Raw genomic sequence first — 18825 nt, 5'->3', positions numbered from 1 at the left:
TTTAGGAATAGTGTCTGAGATAGTTTCACTTGTTATTGACACAGTTGGCAGTAGTACAGGGCTGAAGGCATTCATCAAAATGACTTGTAGCCTGAAAAGCTTTGGAATCTTTGTTTTTTTTTTTAATTTTATTTTTGTTTTAATTTTATATTTCTTTTGAGATAATATTTTTAGACTGATTTTTCTTGAAAGGTGACCATAATATATGTGTGTATACTATTGAGTTGAAGTTTAAACTCCATGCACAGAAAGATCCATATATATGTGAAGATTATATATATATAAAATCTGATTTTGATCCATATATGTAATGATTATATATGTATATATAAATAATTTGATTTTGTCCTGCTATAAGGAAAAAAGAATGCTAAAAGTAGCAAACAGAAACATCTTATTTGCAGTGTAAAAAGTCATAGATTTTAATTGTTCTACAACTGCCATCATTTATAGTGGAAACCAAGATGCCTTCAGAAGATTTTTATGGTTCTTACTGTTTTTAAAATAAGATGTCATTTGAGCTGGGTCAGGCTGGAGTCATGGTCACAACTGCTCATTACCTAATCTTCAGGGAAAAAAATATCCAGTGGCACTTTCCTATCAGTCGCTGTTACCTGTGCCACAGTGTGGTGAGAAGTTTCTTTTCAGTTAAGGAATGTAAACAAATGTTTTCATTGACAGTCAAATCAACAGCATTAGGACGGCCAAGCAAATGGACACCTTAAGTACCATAAAAAGAAGGTGATCATTACAGGTCAAAACCTCAAGAGGTAAATTACAGAGCTTTTTGAGATAAGCAAATAATTAAGCCCTGTAGACTCAATTTTTTGGAGATAGGTTACCTTGTTATGTCCCTATGGCAATATGAACAGTGATGATAATTTGGGTCCTGATCTCAGGCTGTTTCTACAATGACTCAAAACCATATAAAAACCATATATGTTAAAAACAAAAATATTTAAAATGTACGGTGGCTTCCCTAGCTCTTCTCCAGAAGAAAAGTCCCACTCTATGTCGAAAGTGCTATGTTCTGTAGCTAACATGACAATTCAGAAAACTCCCTTAAATCTATTCAGCTTCTTATTTGAATCTAGGAATGGTCAATTTATGTGAAAGGCCCTTCAGGCATTCTATGCACTAAGCATATTTTTATTCAGAAAACATTAACAGTTTCCATATGTTCCTCAAAAGTGTCTTTCTGGGAGTAAGGGTGGGGTGGGATAAGGTAGAGAAAATGTTAAATGACTATGCCAAGAAAAGTAAGGACACAATCTTCGCCTTCTTCTTGTTCTTGAGTATCCCAAGTATATTCTATTTCTTTCTCATTTAAAATTCTTATTTTGTTTGTGAGACAATGGTGGCATTTCTGACCACAAGAAGAGCAGTTTTTCAGTAGCCATGAAATTCTTCTGAGTCATAGGCCACTGAGTGGCATTCAGTAAACAAATATTCTAGTTGAAATTGCAGAATTCTGTGCATCTAATTTCTATTCCTTACTCACTTGCTCACCCACTTTCTGACTCATTCAAGAAAAGAGACCCAGAAATAGAGTATGTCAAAAATCTATTACATGTTATAGGCAATGCAAAATTTGCAGGTACCTACTCTCACATACTACCCCATGAGATGGTTTATGCCTGAATAGGTGAATCCAAAGAGATGGCATCATTTAGGTCATGAATATAGATGAACTTTGTTAAACAACAACTAGAAGATATTGCCTGTTCGAGGCAAAGTATAGGAACACTGATTCATGGGCACTGGGAAAAGGAATGAGGACATGATAAATAGGAATCTGATACTGAAGGGCTATTCTTTAGGGGAGAGTGTCTGACCCCTGTTTCTCTGCTGATACTCCAATTTGATGCTTTGACTACTTTTCACCAAACATTCAAACATAAGGAAACTCAGATTAGGGAGAAGATTCTAAATTATTTTTTCCCTAAGATTTGGTAAATGCTTGTTTACCCACGGATGTAGTAATTATTTCACACCTGGGCTTGTTTACTTTAATTTATATAAGACTGTGTGGCTGTAATATACAAACATTGTAATTCCCTCAAGTTTTATTTAAATACCGGGAGAAATTATCTTTTTTTGTTCTACACAGTTGATAAATAACATTCTGTACTTATTATATTAAATCAATCCTCTCTCTTTTAAACTGTTACTCTATCAGGGCTCCCTTAATATGAACATTTACCTAAAAGATTGCCTGTCTCTTTTAGGGTTCTCTTCAGGAATAGGCTATTTATCTATTTTTTTCCCTTCTTCACTGAAGTTTTTCTGAGGGCAGAAGCTACATACTCAATCCTCTTCAAGTCCAATCATTTACTTGGGCAAGTACTGCGCTCTTCAGGGAGATAAGACATAAATAGTACAGGGTCCTGAGCCTCACACAGACCACTGAGGATAAGACAAACATGCATACACAAAAGTATAATGCAGTGTGATCTTTGCTATGATACAGGCACACATGAAGTATCATAGAAATACAGATGAGGAGGCAACTACTTTAAGGGATGTTATAGAGAGATGACATTTATACCACCATGTATTTTATCTTCTTCAAGTATTCATATTCATAGGAACTAGGAAAATCCTGTATAGTCAGTCAATAAATGTTTATTAAATTAAATTAGGTCAGGTACGGTGGCTCACACCTGTAATCCCAGCATGTTGGGAGGTTGAGGTGGGTGGATCACCTGAGGTCAGGAGTTTGAGACCAGCCTGGCCAATATGGTGAAATCCTGTCTGTACTAAAAATACAAAAATTAGCTGGGTGTCGTCCTGGGTGTCTGTAATCCCAGCTACTCAGGAGGCTGAGGCAGGAGAATTGCTGGAACCCAGGAGGCGGAGGTTGCAGTGAGCCAAGATCATGCCATTGCACTCCAGCCTGGGCAACAAGAGTGAAACCCCATCTCAAAATAAATAAGTAAAATAAATAAATTAAATTGAATTTATATAGTAGTAACTTTCTCAAATACACTCTCTGAAATATGAACTCCATGAGGACAAACACTTCCTCTCATCTCTTGTGGCTCCCCAGGACCTAGAAGAATGTGTTGCACATGGAAGATGGTTAATAGAAATCTATTGAATGAATGAAATTAATAAGAATATGGAATTTTAAAAGGGTGTTTGTGCCCCTTCTATGTTGTTGTGTAAAGATATTAGGAAAATATGGGCCATTCAGGGGAGGGATATCCTTAAAATCTAATTGCTATACTTTCATATCATAAACACAAAACATTTACTGTATTTCTCTCTATTGCCTAAATAAACTTGTCTTAAAGTTTTTTTCCAAGGTACAGTTATACTCATTCTGAAAGATGCATTTTGATAATAATTATAATCATAGTAAATAAACCGAAGGCTAAGAAGTCAAGGTGAGCATGAGATAAAGAGAGAGGATTGTCTTCTCTTACAGATGGGAATTAAGTCAACACATTAAAATTCATTTTTCTAATATTTGGTAACGTCTGACAAAGATTTTTGGTGATTCCAACCATTCCCCTCCAATAACTCTTTGTAATGGTGACATTCTTCCTTTTACTGAAAAGAACAGGGCCCTTTTACATGAAATAAAGAGAAACAAAAAAGGAATAAACAGTACCTTTAAACTTTATTATTATTGTCATGTTGAAATAGACCATCTTACATATACTTAAGTACTACATATACACACCTAGATAGAATCTAAACAAAACTTTAGGGTATATATCTGTGATGCATTAACCCATTTTCTTACTTAATTTTATTGGACTGGAAAATTGGGTGCTTTAATGTACGATCTAATAAGAATCATTTAAATTGTCTCGTTCTTCTTTTAAACAATAACTCTTTAAATTTTTGGAACCTTCACTTTACTAAATGAAGTCAGAGTAACTTTCAAAACAGAAAACTTACCCAAGAGGTTGTTTAGGCTTGTAAAAAAGAATATATCTAGCCTATTTGTTGACAGCTATCCCCATAGCCTTTGAACTTAATTTAAATCAGAAAAACATATTTCCTAATCCCTTCATGCATGACAAATAATGAAACACTAAAACCCTAGTTCAAAAAACTGTCCAACATTCTTTAATGTATAAAGCACTGTTTTCAGAAATTTAAAAAAATTTTCTTAGAAACCAACTTTGGCTTGCTTTGTGTAGTAGTATAAAGATTTGGATACTTTTTTGAAAGAAGGGAAGTTGAGAAGCATAAGTTATTTATAACATCCATTAGAGGTGATGACTTTCTGTGAATAGCTAAGACCAACAGTGAATGTCTTTGGGTAGTGGTATTCTGAACAGTTTTCATTTCATGATATTTAATTTAGGGGATGAACAAATAAATCAGTACATGAGAAGTCCTTTGATTCTGTGCGGAGGTACGAGGATAAATCCTGTCTGAGGAGGACTACCCTTCCAAATGAGCACTGCAGAAATCTATTTTGTCTAACAAAAATAAAGGAGCTCATTCTGAAATTTTTGTGAGGTGTCCAGATTTTGAATTCATTTCATTGTGAAACAAGATATGCAGATCAAGAATAATACTTATGTAGATATCCTGATGGAAGTATTAGAAGATGTAATAATTCTGTAGCCTGTCTTAGACAGCTTTATGTTTAAGGGTGGAAGGTAACATAAGAGCTGTGTTACTCCTTTATCCACAGACACATTGGGACACATGGAAAAGAGCACCCTTGCAACTCTAACATTTAAAAAACTACTTTTCTTCCATGCTTTCTTTCATTCTCATGAGTTAGGAAAAATTGATAAGTCAAAATCCTCATTCCACAGAATGCAGAATCTCAGGCTCTAACCCCAGACCTACTGATTTTGAATCTTTAACAAAATGGCCAGGTGACTCACATGCATATTCAAGTTTGTGAGGCCTGTTTCTAAATTAGGTCCATTTCCCAGCCAGGAGGAATCAATGTGGCCATTAATTAGTGTATTCAGGCACTTCCAAGTACAGAATGCTCTGAAATCTTCCAACTGGGTGGAGTCCTTGCCCTGAACAAGGAGGCAGTCTTCGAATGCCACAGCAGATTCTATGGTTTAATGAATTTCCTCACGCTGTAAGCAATTTGATACACAGTGATTATCCTTGACCACTCATCATTTTTAAGCCAATACTCATCACTTTTACCTAAAAAAGGGTAAGGAAGTGAAAAATTTCTTATGATGGGATAAATTTTTACTGTCTTCCATCTGTGGAGCTTTACGAATAGGAATAAGTGCTAGTATAGTACTTGCTGTGTCATCTTTTTATTAATCATTTTAGTGCCTTTCTCAAAGGCAGTACACAAACTGATATTTTTCTTCTTCGTAATTGTCTTTAATCTGGCTGCTCACTGAATTTTTCCTGGTCATATCGGTGTTTCTTTCTTCAGTGTCAGTTTACTTATAAGGAGTAGAATGCTGTATTCTGAAGGATTTACCGCATGTTTTGAGACTACACATAGCCATTTTGTAGGCAGCTTTAAAAACAACAATGCATTATACAAACTAAATTTCGCCGAGGAATCATATATTTATAATACAACCATATTCCAGGTAGAAGAACGGAGCCAATGGAATCTCTTCCTGTGTAACCATGTAATATTGATCTCATTGGGACTTCATGGCAGGATTGACAGCAACACACATTTCCTAATGTATTTTTCAAGTACTATCTGAAGTACAGCAAGAAATTAAATGTTTTAAGAGTTACAGCTTTCATTTTATTTTTAAGGAATACCTTCCTTGACATTATAGCATATGTAGGCTGCAGAAATATCTGTATTATGTATTCTTAAATAACTCTGATACTAGAATAAAGAGGAAAAAAAACCTTTGAATTCAAGGATAACTCTGAATTTATATACCTTATAAATCATATTCTAATTTTTAATTTGTACTAAACATTTCTAAAATTTGAGTTTAGGATGGATAAAGCTAATGTTCTATCTTATTTTTACATAGTGTCTAGAAATTTCTGTGTCCTGAAATGTGCTGAAAACAAGTGGGGCTCAGCATTGGCTGTCTTCTTTGCGACTAATATTTTCTTCATTTTGAGGATTTCCAAGATTTAAAAGTCTCATCCTCACAGGTTGAACTCACTTGCTCACTAAGAAACAGTGTTACTTGGCTTTAATACCTAGGCAGTTTGAAACTGAGTTGGCACTAAACCTTTCAAAGGAGGCAAAAGCAGTAGTAACTTAGTGAATCGAGCCACAGGTTTGACTGTCTACTGCTAATAACATTGTCAGAAATTTCACAAATATCCATCTAATTTTCTTCTGTGGTTAAAGATGCAACCATAATAAAAGCAAATAATGAAGCCACTTACATTTTTCAAGTTTAACTTTATTCTCATGAGAGAGGGTCAGCTTTGTAATTCTTAAGTTTAAAAGATCAGAAAGTGTATGAAGAGATTAAGTGGCTTTCACACAGCTAGTTACAGAGAATTCTGGAACTCTTTCCTGGTTCAGTGTTCTTTCCACTGAACTGGCCCTCTTACTTTAGGAAAAAAGGTAGCAATGTACCCACATTTCAGGTCCTATTAATCTCACTATACAATCATCAACACCACAGTACACAAATATCTAAAAGGGTATGTGGATATCCTGTATCAACTTTGGTTTATCAACTTAACTCAATGCATATATTTCCATGGGAAATTCAGGACATGAAAAGTTATGTAATATCTTACAGGGAAAACCTAGGAGAAAAGATTAATGAAACTAAATAATAATGTCATGTGCTTTTAGATAAAAAGACAAGGTCCAGTTTTATCAAACTGCCTTAGGTATTTGTGGTATTATATTTGCAATATCCTAGCTTTAGAAACTGATCAACTATAATATGAGCAGTGAATATAGAAAAATAGGCATTTCTACTGTAATTCAATGTACATGTTCCTGAAAAATATTGTATTCCACAAAATGGCACTTAAAATAAGGGGGCTGTTACGGACTGCTTGTTTCCCTCCAAAATCACATATTGAGGCCCTAACCCCGAAAATAACAGCATTAGGAGACAGGGTCTTTGGGAAGAAGTGAGATTTAAATAAGGTCATGAAGATAGAGCCCCCATGATGCGATTATTGCCGTTATAAGAAGTGTCACCAGAGAGCTTGCTTTCTCTCTCCATCGTGTTAGGATACAGTGAGAAGGTGGCAATATGTAAACCAGAAACGGAGCCTTCACCAAGCATCCAACCATGCTGGTACCCTGCTCTTGGATTTCCTCCAGTACGATCAGAAGTCTGTTGTTTAAGCCACCTAGGTATTTTGTTATAACAACCTCAGCTGACTAAGACAAGGGCTTATGGGAAGAATTGGTTTGGGGCAGACCCCTCAAGATCTGTGCAGCTTTGTAACTAAAGCAGTGGTGAAAACAAAAGCTGGTACCTTGGAAGAAAGTTTGGGCAACCAGCAAGCAGCTCAGAAGTAGCTGGAGGTCGCTTCAGGAGAGATTAGAAACACACAAAACAAAATAATGATGGAAGTGAAACTCTGAAAAGTGGATGTGCACCCTGAAGAGAGCCATGGAAGACTGTGGGATGCATCGAGAGAGAGGGAAACCCAGTACAGGCACTTCCTTTTCATTGACGGCTCAGTTGAGAAGGCTTTTTCTGCTTGTGCAACAGCTAGGCTGAGGGCATGTTCCTTTCCTTATAATTCTCGTTACCTCTTGCTTGAAAAGCTACATAACTACTTTCATGTTGTGCTGATATTCTCTTTTGTATATGAGCTTATTAGTGTTAAAGAAATTTGCACTGTAGCAGAACAGACTTGAATGGGAAACCAAATCATGGTGAATTTTACCTACATCAAGAACTTCTGGATCATTAATTTGGCAATTTATAATGTACAGGGTTATGGTACAGTATTTTTGTTTCAAACTGTTTTACCTCAAATAATATTTTTTACATTTTAATAATATATGCAATCTCCTGATTTAAAGTGAAAATAAACTCCTTAGGGGATGGGACCAACTTCTCATTCATTCTCTCCCTCTGTAGCACATAATGCAAATATAATATACTGAACACAGGAGACATTAAAAAATGCTTCTAATGAAATCAGGACTTAATGAAATCAGAAATCTTGGATTATATCTGTACTTACTCTGATATGACACAAAATAAAAACTAAATAATTAGGTTATAATAAAAAAGCCAATGCCATTGCTTCCTAATATAAAGAAGGAAATATATTCTGTTCAGAATTTCATGTCCAAAATCAAGTTTTTAATTTAAATACTTAATTCATAAACCATAATTGATAAAAATGTTAAACACAAGTATTGCTTTAGTAACTTAATATAACCAGAGAATTTTTTTCTGATTTTATCTATTTTTATTGTGATAAAAATAGCCCAGGGGAATGACAACTAATATTAACAAATAGAGTAAATAGCCTGGACACGGTGGCTCATGTCTGTAATCCCAGCACTTTGGGAGGCCGAGCCAGGCAGATCACCTGAGGCCAGGAGTTCGAGACCAGCCTGGCCAACATGGTGAAACCCCCGTCTCTACAAAAAATACAAAAAATTAGCCGGGTTTGGTAGTGTGCACCTGTAATCCCAGCTACTTGGGAGGCTGAGGCAGGAGAATCGCTTGAACCCGGGAGGCAGAGGTTGCAGTGAGCCGAGATCGTGCCATTGCACTCCATCCTGGGCATCAAGAACAAAACTCTGTCTCAAACACACACACACACACACACGCACGCGCACACACCCACAGAATAAATAAATAACACTGGTATTACAACATAATTCAAAAGACTTAAAGAATGCAGTATTTTTGTTTTAGAAATCATCAAAAAATAAATTCTTAGCTCCATTTCCCCACTTATAAAGCAATAGATCTACCAGTGTTTTAATTTCATATCATACAAAGGTAGAAATTTAAGATTCACTAAATGCTTTAAAGGAGAAAAGAAATTTAAAACAAGTTTCTTTCCTATAAAAGAGCACAGGAATGTCAGTTCAAATTCTCTTTGAAGATGACTAGCCTGATGAATTTCCAAATTTTGATGTTCATATATCATTCATTTGTCACGGTTGACAAAAATAAGTCATTTAAGTAACAAATTTTTTAAATCAAACAAAATGAATTAGTAACAAAATGATGCTAAGATGCAGTTTTTTCTTTATAAGCTACATCTTCCTCTAGAAAACATCTTTTCAAAAAATTTGCATGACTGTTTCAGACATATCTAATGCAACATTAAATCTGTCTTTAAGGTTCTGCAATATCTGATGATATACTAATTTACTATAAAAGTATAAGATATTCAAAAGGACTAATATCAGACTTCTAGCATTGTCCTACAAGAGATAGTGGTGGGCATGGCAGTGGTGGTGGCCATGTTAATTGAAAAGAAAATGCTTTTAAGAATTTTTCACTCAATATATAAGTCTCACTTTGAAGAATATATTCTTCACCATTCACATTCTCCATTTTATGGCTTTTTAGATGAATGCCAGTTTGAAGTGGCAATTCAGTCAAGTTTTCATAGCAATCTATCCAATTACTAAAGAAGATGATATTCTAAGTATCAAAATTGATAGCTTAAAAGAGACTACTTAGTATAAAAGAGAAAATTCCTTTGAATGCTGTGGTCATATGTCACATTTCCAGGAAATGGGATATATATATATATATGCATACATACATATATATATACTTATATATATATATAAATATATATATATACACACACACACACACACACAAAAGAAGACTGATATATGTTCTCACCAGAAATAATGATAAGTAGGTAAGGCGATGGATATGCTAGTTAACTTGACTCAGTCATTTCACAACATTTATCAAAACATCATGTTGTACACTGTAAATATATGCAATTCTTATTTGTCAATTATATCTTAAAGTTGGGGAAAAATTAAAAGTTTAGATTCATCTTTAATAGCTGTGGGTGACCAGTGAAGGATTTCAAGTAGGGGAGAAATAGAAGTAGTTTTGCATTTTATAAATACAAATCTGTCAGCACTTGGAATAAAAGCATATGATGGTTTTTAAAAATAAGACATAAACCCTTTAAAATAACATGGTCACACAAAGTTTTTTGTCATAAATTATTATATAATAGCACCTATTTATTTTGAAATAGGTGACAGCTCTACATAACATTGCATGTGTTACCTGTATGTTTCAGTGTGTCTGTACACATGTACATGTATGCAAATCTTACTAAAGTATGAATACAATTTTAGTGATACTCAGGCTGCTACCATCTATTATGTATGCATGCTCATCCATTCATTAGAAGTTTCAACTTTGATGTTGCCCAAATCTTTTGTGGTATATCTCTAAAATTTCAGATGCTATATGGCAGCTTAGTAGGGATTTGTTAGATGAAAAGGTATTGTGCACCACAACAGGAAATCTAGTATACTGATAATAAAATATAGTCAGGCAGATACATGTATATTCATCTTTGGTTACTGGATACATAGAATAATGATGATAGCAAAAATGTGGAAAATGTTTCCTTGCCTCTTAGACTTCAAATCCACCATGCTGAATGGACTTTTATAGGGCATATACTTGTTCATGACCTCTAGTGTTAAGAAATTCTGTCATGTTTGAAAACTAGTCCCTAGTGGAGCCTGTATCCCTGTTAATAGCTGAAAGGTCAATGGAGCTGCTAAACAGTTTGTATTACTGTCAGGGTGGCCATGAAAACACCACCTGCTGCAAGAGGACTTGGCAGCTGGGTCAACAGGCACTGTGGGAATTTATCAACTTAGGGGGGCCACTTGCATAAAACTTTGGCTGATGAATTGGGACTAGACTGGCTTATTGGGCTAAAGCTGCTCTATTATGTGTAACTTTCTTTAGGATGGCAGAGCTGCCTGCTGGCTCCCTGAGATATATGCAAAGGATAAACAGAACTGGTTTCCTCTTATGAAGTGATTTTTTTGAAAAAAGCACTCTTTAGCATCCAGTCTAATAAGAAGTAGGATGAAGATATTAAGAAAACAATAGACAAAGGGCAGTAAGTGGGCCATGGGGGGAAGAGGAATGAGGGGCAGTTTTTGATATTGGTCACAGAGGAGATTGGGGATACAACATGTATGTAAAATGACCTCTCGAGCCTGGAATTTGCATTATTAATTTATAGACTTATTAAGGGAATGGTCTGTGTGACTTGGTTGGGTAACAGATAAATGATATGTTAAAATATAGCAAGAGTGGGTACATAATAATTAAATCAACATGATGGAGAATAATTTTCCTTTACAAATTCCTAGAAACATAAACTCTGGAAATGTTTCAAAAAAAGTCATTTGGTTTAAGTTCATCTGAAACAAAAATTAAATAATATTTGTCAATACTATAAAAAAATTCGTGTTCTATAAAAATAAATCTTGGAAGTTACATAACTTTGTCAGAATTCTTTAATTTCCACCCCTAGGAACATTTATGTAATTCTGAAAGGATTTAGCAAAGAGCATCCAAGGTATAATTTGAAAACTATGTATTGAGAGTTCTTTTTTTTTTTGAAACAGAGTCTCACCCTGTTGCCCAGGCTGCAGTGTGCAGTGGTGTGATCTCAGCTCACTGCAACCTCCACCTCCTGGATTCAAGTGATTATCCTGCTTCAGCCTCCTGAATAGCTGGGATTACAGGCATGCACTACCATGCCCAGCTAATTTTTTGTATTTTTAGTAGATAGAGGGTTTCACCATGTTGGCCAGGCTGGTCTTGAACTCCTGACCTCAAGTGATCCTCCCATCTCGGCCTCCCAAAGTGCTGGGATTACAGGCGTGGGCCACCACACCTGGCTCTACTGAGCATTCTTAGAAGCTCCATAGATGTCTTTATTCCAATTTTGGAAATAAAGGAACCTTAAAAGTTGAGAGATCACCTGAAAATAATCCTGGAATGCCTGGAATAAACACACAAAAATTACTAAAGAATGTAATATGTTTAAAATAGATTATTTAAACACCTTCACAGCCCTCTGTAGAATGCAGCAGGGACAGAAATATCATCTTCTATATATTTTTGATGGACAAAGGGACACAGTATGGTGAAATAATCTATGCTGAGTGCTACACTAAGGAAGATTTAGAGATCAGACCAGTTGACTCCCTGTCTGACCTAGATAGACTTGCTCCCAATCTTGACTAGTTTCAGATGGCATTACTAAGTGAAAGTAAAGTTATTGCCAAGATTTTGTCCTCAGTTCATCTAAATCTGTTTTTCAGAATTGCTAGCTGAAGGATCCCCCAGGCTATGGCATGCTGAATTCAGTACTAGAGACTTTTTTGGATCCTGTGGGTTGGCTGAGCCAACTGGGTGACTGGTGTTGATTTGACCCTAACTCTGCCCTGCCATAAGATGTGACTGTTCAGTCCCTGAAGGTATTCCAGGAGTGTGTACAATGTTCTAACATGGAGGCAAACTTAATTCCTTTTCTGTTTCCTCGGAAGTTGCTTTTTTTTTTTTTTTGAGACAGAGTCTTGCTCTGTCACCCAGGCTGGAGTGCAATGGCACAATCTCGATTCACTGCAACCTCCTCCTCCTGGGTTCAAGTGATTCTCCTGCCTCAGCCTACTGAGTAGCTGGGATTACAGGCACCCGCTACCATGCCCAGCTAATTTTTTGTAGTTTTACTAGAGACGGAGTTTTTACCAGGTTGGCCAGGCTAGTCTCAAACTCCTGACCTCAGGTGATCCACCCACCTTGGCCTCCCAAAGTGCTGGGATTACAGGCGTGAGCCACCACGCCCGGCCTGGAAGTTTTTTTTTTTTTTTTTTCCTTAAATAACTCCTGAGTTCTAGGCATTTTCTATTTTTTTTCATGCTAAACAATGGCATTTAATTTTTACAAGAGAATATCTCACCATCCTTTTCTGAGATTGCTGCACACTGTAATTGATTTGAACTTATGTAAATGATTATGTAACTTACAGCTTTAGATCAAATTGTCCTTACAGACTGAGGTGGTAATACTAGAACCTTATCTGTTTTTGCCAAAATGATTTAAGAGATACTGCGTATATAGTTTCTATGGTTTCTAAACTCCCTCATTGTGTGTGTGTGTGTTTTTGTGTGTGTCTGTGTGTGTGCACATGTAGGGAAAAATAGGAAAAACATAAATCCTATGGTAAGAATGTAACTTCTATGACATATAATATAGAAAATAAAAATTTCATAGTTTCCTGCTTTTCTCTTCTTGGGCCACAAATCAACTGATGTTTGAAAGTTATTCTGAAAACATTATTCTAGCAAACCTGGGGGTTTTGGTATGAGAATACAATTAACCTAAAAGTTTAATTTGTGTTTGATTTTTGGTATAACAAAACGTGTCTATATATTGTTTTTTTAGCTGACAAGAATCTTTTTTAAAATTCTACCTCAAAAATTTTAGAAAAACAATTCTACCCTAACACAGACCTCCTGAACACTACTGTGCTTGTAATTAGTTTGTTTCCAAAATAATCCTGTTCACATACTTAAGTGTCAACTCATCTAGGAAGAAATATTATGATAATAAACGTTGATGGCCAAATCAAAACAGCATGAGGCTCCCAACAAATGTTTATAAAAACATTTGTTTTCTTATAGTCAGTTTAATTTTGAAATTTATGCTCATGTCTGTGTACAAGGACGGTTTCTTTGGGACTCTGCTACTTCCCCCACCTTCTGAAAAGCAAACACAAATCTTAACCCGGGCCCCCCACATGACATGACTCACCAGAAACAGGCACCATAATGAGAAGTCAGGCCTTCAGGTATGTCACTCTGAGACCACCCTACTAGAGGAGAACTAAGATCACAAAGCCAAGGTCCCTTATGGCAACCTTGGTAATTAGACACTAATAATAGATTGAAGGTGTAAAATGCACCTAAACTCAGCCACAGACTAAACAATCCAGATGAAGAGAGAAAGATTTTTGTGAGAAGGAGAGAGAATCCATTACAATGCTACCAGGTACTTTGCAAAAACACATAGACTGAGACAGTATAACAGAATAACAATGTCTGTTTTGAAACTAATTGTATTATATCTGAGTGAAATCCGTACACCTCATTATGAGTCTTTAGAATGCTGCTATTTTGTGAATTAACATTAGTTTGATTTTTATTCTTAAGGTTGCCAACTTCAATAATCCCCTAAGTGTCTGATTTTATTTTCATTTATCTTTGCTTTTCTTATGGAGGTCATTAATTTCACACTTGTGGAAAAAAAATCACTATAGTATATAGATGGGTATTTATCTTACTGTGAAAGAAAATGTATACAGTTAAATAGAGAAGGGATGTTATCAACCTGTGATATGTGATATGTGATACTGCCCAGAGATTGTTTGAACTGATTCTTTTTTTGTTCTGCAAGAGCCAATGTCGACCTACATTTCCCTCAGAAAAGCGTTTTGTTGCATAGAAAAAGGACAAAATCTCAGAAAAACATATACAATTTGCAATTGAGAAAGAATATTTTAAAGTGCCCTTAGTAAACTTTTCAGATTATTAGAGTTAATTCTTTTGAAAAAGACTTGAATTGTAATTTGAAAATGGAGTCATGAAAATAGTATAGAAGGAATCCGAAATTTGCAGCATGGTGTGGCTAAAGAGTAACAAGTCCTAGTGCTCAACAACAGTCGTGTCTGTGAGAATCCTTAGGTTTTGTTATGATTAGCTGTTTCTAAATTTATGACTAATGTATTTTTGACAACATATAATTTTATCAGCTTCTGATAGCTCAGGTTTGATCCATGAAATTAACAACTGACTATTGATGATTCAAGATGATTGAAGTACATATGTATAAATGTTGTGATGGGTGAGTGGGAAGGACCAGGGGTGAGATAAACATATTCTTTAAAGGAATAAAACATTCAAATCTTTCTTTTGCTGAAGCAAATAACAAAACCCTACTTAAGTTTTTATTTGTCTAGTCACCACAGTCTTCATGAGCACTGCAAGCTTTCAGATAGTTTCCAAATGAGGCTCAGATGTTGAACTGCCAAAGTAACTTACCTGTTTACTTAACAAAAATCATACTAAGCAGCTGTCATGTCTGCCAGTATGTTTCTCGTTTTCTTAACAATAAGGAGGGTTTATGGCTTCCAACACCAGAGCCTAAGCCACTGCCTCACACGTCAGGGCCCCTTTCTGGCTTTTAACTGAGGACTCTGATTCCATGAATATAATGGTGCTCTGTGATGACAGCAAGGACGACATGAATGAGCTTTTAAAGTTCTGCATAGTGGCATCAGTCATCATAGACAGGCGAAGAAAATCCTTTCAGGACAGCTCTAAGCATATGGAAATGGTAAAAGTGTACATCTTGGCTGATTGCTAATTGTGACATTCCTATCATTAATTGAATGAACTAAAATAATTGGAAGAAGAAAATTACTTGACTTAATGGGATAAAAGGAAATCTCACCTTTTGGGATCTACAATTTTGTAGAGTTTTCCATTGTGAGTCTGGGTCATACTTTTACTGCTTGATAAAATGTAAACTTCACCTGTTAAAGAAAGAAATAACAATAAGCAAATTTATAGCAGTAGAGGTCCTTACTTCCTATTGCCTGGCAGTTATTCTATATGTCAATCTATCTCCATCTATCCACAAGAAAATCACTTGCCTAAAGATTATGCAAGAGTCTCACATGTCTGCCTTTACAGTGCATCCAGAATTCCAGATTCCAGTCACTCCTTTCCATATCCCACTACTACTCCAGTGCAAGCAGATATTATTTCTCATCTAGATTATGGCAACAGCTGTCTAACTGAGCTCCCTGTTGCCACTCTTGTTCTTCTGTGTGTATTCTCAACGTACCAGCCACAGTGATTCTTTTCAAAGGAGTTAGATCATGTACGTTGGATCACACTCCTTTGTTTCAATGCCCTGCAATAGCTTCTTATCTCATCCAGAGCAAAAGCAAGTCCTGACAGTAGCACTTACTGCTATAACCTCATCTGCAACATTTTGCCCTCTTGTTCACTCTTCTCTAGCCTCACCGGCTTGTGATTTCACACAGGAGAGGCAAGTTCCCAGCTCAGGCTTCTGTCTCAAGTTCTTGCTGTTCCAGGCCCCTATTACAGGCTCCATCTTCCTGTGAGTCTCCACTAGGTTCATTTTTTCCCCCCTTCTTCAAGGCTGTACTTAAATATCACCTTTCCTGACTGCACTTTAAAATCGCACCTTCCCCAACTCCCAACAAATTCCTCTTCACTACTAGATTTTTCTTCAAAGCATTTATTACCAATTTATGTACCGTATTTTTTAAAAATTTATTTTGATTTTCCTCCTCCTGTACAATATAAATTTCATGACACTAGTTTAGACTTTTGTCTCTTTATCCACTGCTGCATCCCCAGCATCCAGAACAGAGCTTTGCACAGAGAAGGTGCTCAATAAATATTTGTAGAATGGATATTGAATGGACAAATTTTATCTTGATTTATTTCTGTGCAAGATTGATACATGTCAGTTATCAAGTTGTTACCGTTAATTGCTAATTTGAGGCCACATGAAATTGGGTTGTGCCTTCTTTAGCTTTTTAGAAGACATGAAAGTACATCAAAATATGTTAAAATAAACACTGGGGGAGAGGGGAGAGAAGGATTGAGAGAGAGAGAGAGAGAAAGAGAGAGAGAGAGACCTTGATGCTCAGTCTCAACTCTCTAAACTCTAACTCTTGATGCTAGCTGTGTTCATAATGATGAAATACAACAGATGGGGTACTCTTTTAGGAGAAAACCACCCCGTTTATCACCACTACTTCCATATAATTCTATGTGTTGAATTGATCATGTGAATAGAAAATTTGAAGCCATATTTATAATTACACATTTATAAAGTTTTAAAATTTATATTTGGTCCTCCCCCATGAAAAATCCTTTAGTCTATATTTCTCTTATTATTGTGCATTAAACACACCCTGCTACTTTTCTACTTCTGAAAAGGATTTACACAGTTTGTACTAAAAACGTAGGCACAACAGAAAAAATAAAAATGAAAGTACAAAGCAATGTAAGCAAAAGAATTAATATTATTTTGTCAAGTATTTTATAGTTTACTTCATTTAATCCTCACAACAAATCCATCCTGACTTTATAGTTAAAAAAATAATATGCAAAGTCCCAGACTCTCAATACTTTTATTTCAAAAGGTGCAAAAACTTACTCATTTTCTTATATGGTTCTTCAATTAAAGCTAGCGAGTTTCACATTAAAATGTAATCCAGTGAAACTGTATTTATTTTAATTATGAGGTATATACAGGGTTGTAGCTTTTGGAGAGTCAGGATTATATATCTTTATTTTTTAGTTCTGCTTCTAAATAGTATTAGGTGTACACAGACATTTGGGATATTTTACCTAATGGTGGTGACGTTAACATAATGAGTGATGATGAATCATTTGTAGCAAGGTCTGGGAAAATCAGAATTATTCAGTCACAACATTTAAACATTCATCTCTAACTCAGACACAAACCATTCTTTTACTTTTTTTTTTTTTTTTTTTTTTTTTTTTTTTTTTCTTTTGAGACGGAGTTTTGCTCATGTTGCCCAGGCTGGAGTGCAATGGTGCGATCTTGGCTCACTGCAACCTCCGCCTCCAGGGTTCAAGTGATTCTCCTGCCTCAGCCTCCCAAGTAACTGTGATTACAGGGGCCTGCCAGTATACCCGGCTAATTTTTTGTAGTTTTTGTAGAGACAGAGCTTCACCATGTTGGCCAGGCTGGTCTTGAATTCCCAATGTCAGACGATCCACCTGCCTTGGCCTCCCAAATTGCTGGGATTACAGGCGTGAGCCACCATGCCCATCCTCATTCTTTTAAATTTGAAATCATTGTTTGCCAGTGAAATTAAAATTATATTACAGAGGATGTAAGTTAGGGGAAGTATCTTTCTGGTTCCTTTGAGTGCGGTAGGGGAATGTTAAGGAAAAATTTTAAATTGCTTTCAGTGCTGGAACAAGCAAAGAATAGACTGGATTCTCTTCTTTGAATTGTTATATTCCTGTGGCTCTGAAACTTATCTTATGTGTTTCAACAGTCTTGTCTGAGTCCCTTATTATTCTAAGTAAAGGGCATGAAACTATTTCTGATGAAGTCTCCATTTGATGTAAAAAAAACCAAATCTGAAGTTTTAGAGAAAATATTCTGATTAACATGGGAAACATACATTCTTCTTTATGCCTAGAAATTTATCTCTGAGGCTAAAGGAGCATAATAGTTAAGGTTTGTTTGAATATTATTTTTTAAAGGGAGTCACTATGAAACTACATTGATCTCTGTAATTTAAATTAGTAGAGAATAAAATTTTTACTCACTGATCATATTTCAATTTCAACTTCTTTTTTGCTTTTTAAGCTGCATACATTTTGGTAAACATGCCAAGAAGTATATTATATGTTATACCATAGATTGTCCCATGAGAACATAATTTCTATTCTATTGGAAAGAAGATCTGCACTCAGATCATCTTGCTCAAATTTCGTGCCCCAATGGGCAAAAAGAAAAAAGAAAAAAGAAATAGCGGGTAAGGCAAGTTTCAGATTCCAACAAAACTTTTTTATTTATTCCAAGAGACATGGATACATGGAAAGGTTTTTAGATAGAGAATATACACAAACTACTCAGATGTATAATCAAAAATATCATTAAACATTTAAAAAATTATCTCTTCAGGACTAAAAAATTCTTTTCCTGCCTCCCATTTTTCTGCCTTATATTTTGGTATTTCTAGTGTGAAAATAAAATATAAAGGCTCTCAGGGAAAAGTTACTGGTAGAGAATATGTAACTGGACTATCTTAATCTCTGGAGTAGGTCATCTTTGCTGTGGATTACATTTC

At 35.5% G+C, this 18825-nt stretch overlaps 1 protein-coding gene and 1 long non-coding RNA gene across 4 annotated transcripts in view; one reads left to right on the top strand and one right to left on the bottom strand.

The window, feature by feature from the left end:
• The window catches only part of HHIP (hedgehog interacting protein), a 99116-nt gene that overhangs the window by 10911 nt on the left and 69380 nt on the right, over positions 1-18825 (bottom strand). For all 3 annotated transcript variants that reach the window (NM_022475.3, XM_005263178.6, XM_006714288.5), the window contains exon 11: positions 15405-15486. In NM_022475.3, the coding sequence (NP_071920.1) occupies positions 15405-15486 (82 nt within the window). The remainder of the gene's footprint in view (positions 1-15404; positions 15487-18825) is intronic.
• Positions 1-18825, top strand: part of LOC124900791 (uncharacterized) — a 67320-nt gene that overhangs the window by 22100 nt on the left and 26395 nt on the right. The window lies entirely within an intron of this gene.

This window comes from Homo sapiens, chromosome 4, assembly GCF_000001405.40.
Source record: "Homo sapiens chromosome 4, GRCh38.p14 Primary Assembly".
NCBI classification, from domain to species: Eukaryota; Metazoa; Chordata; class Mammalia; order Primates; family Hominidae; genus Homo; species Homo sapiens.
This window is presented reverse-complemented; position numbering and strand designations above follow the sequence as displayed.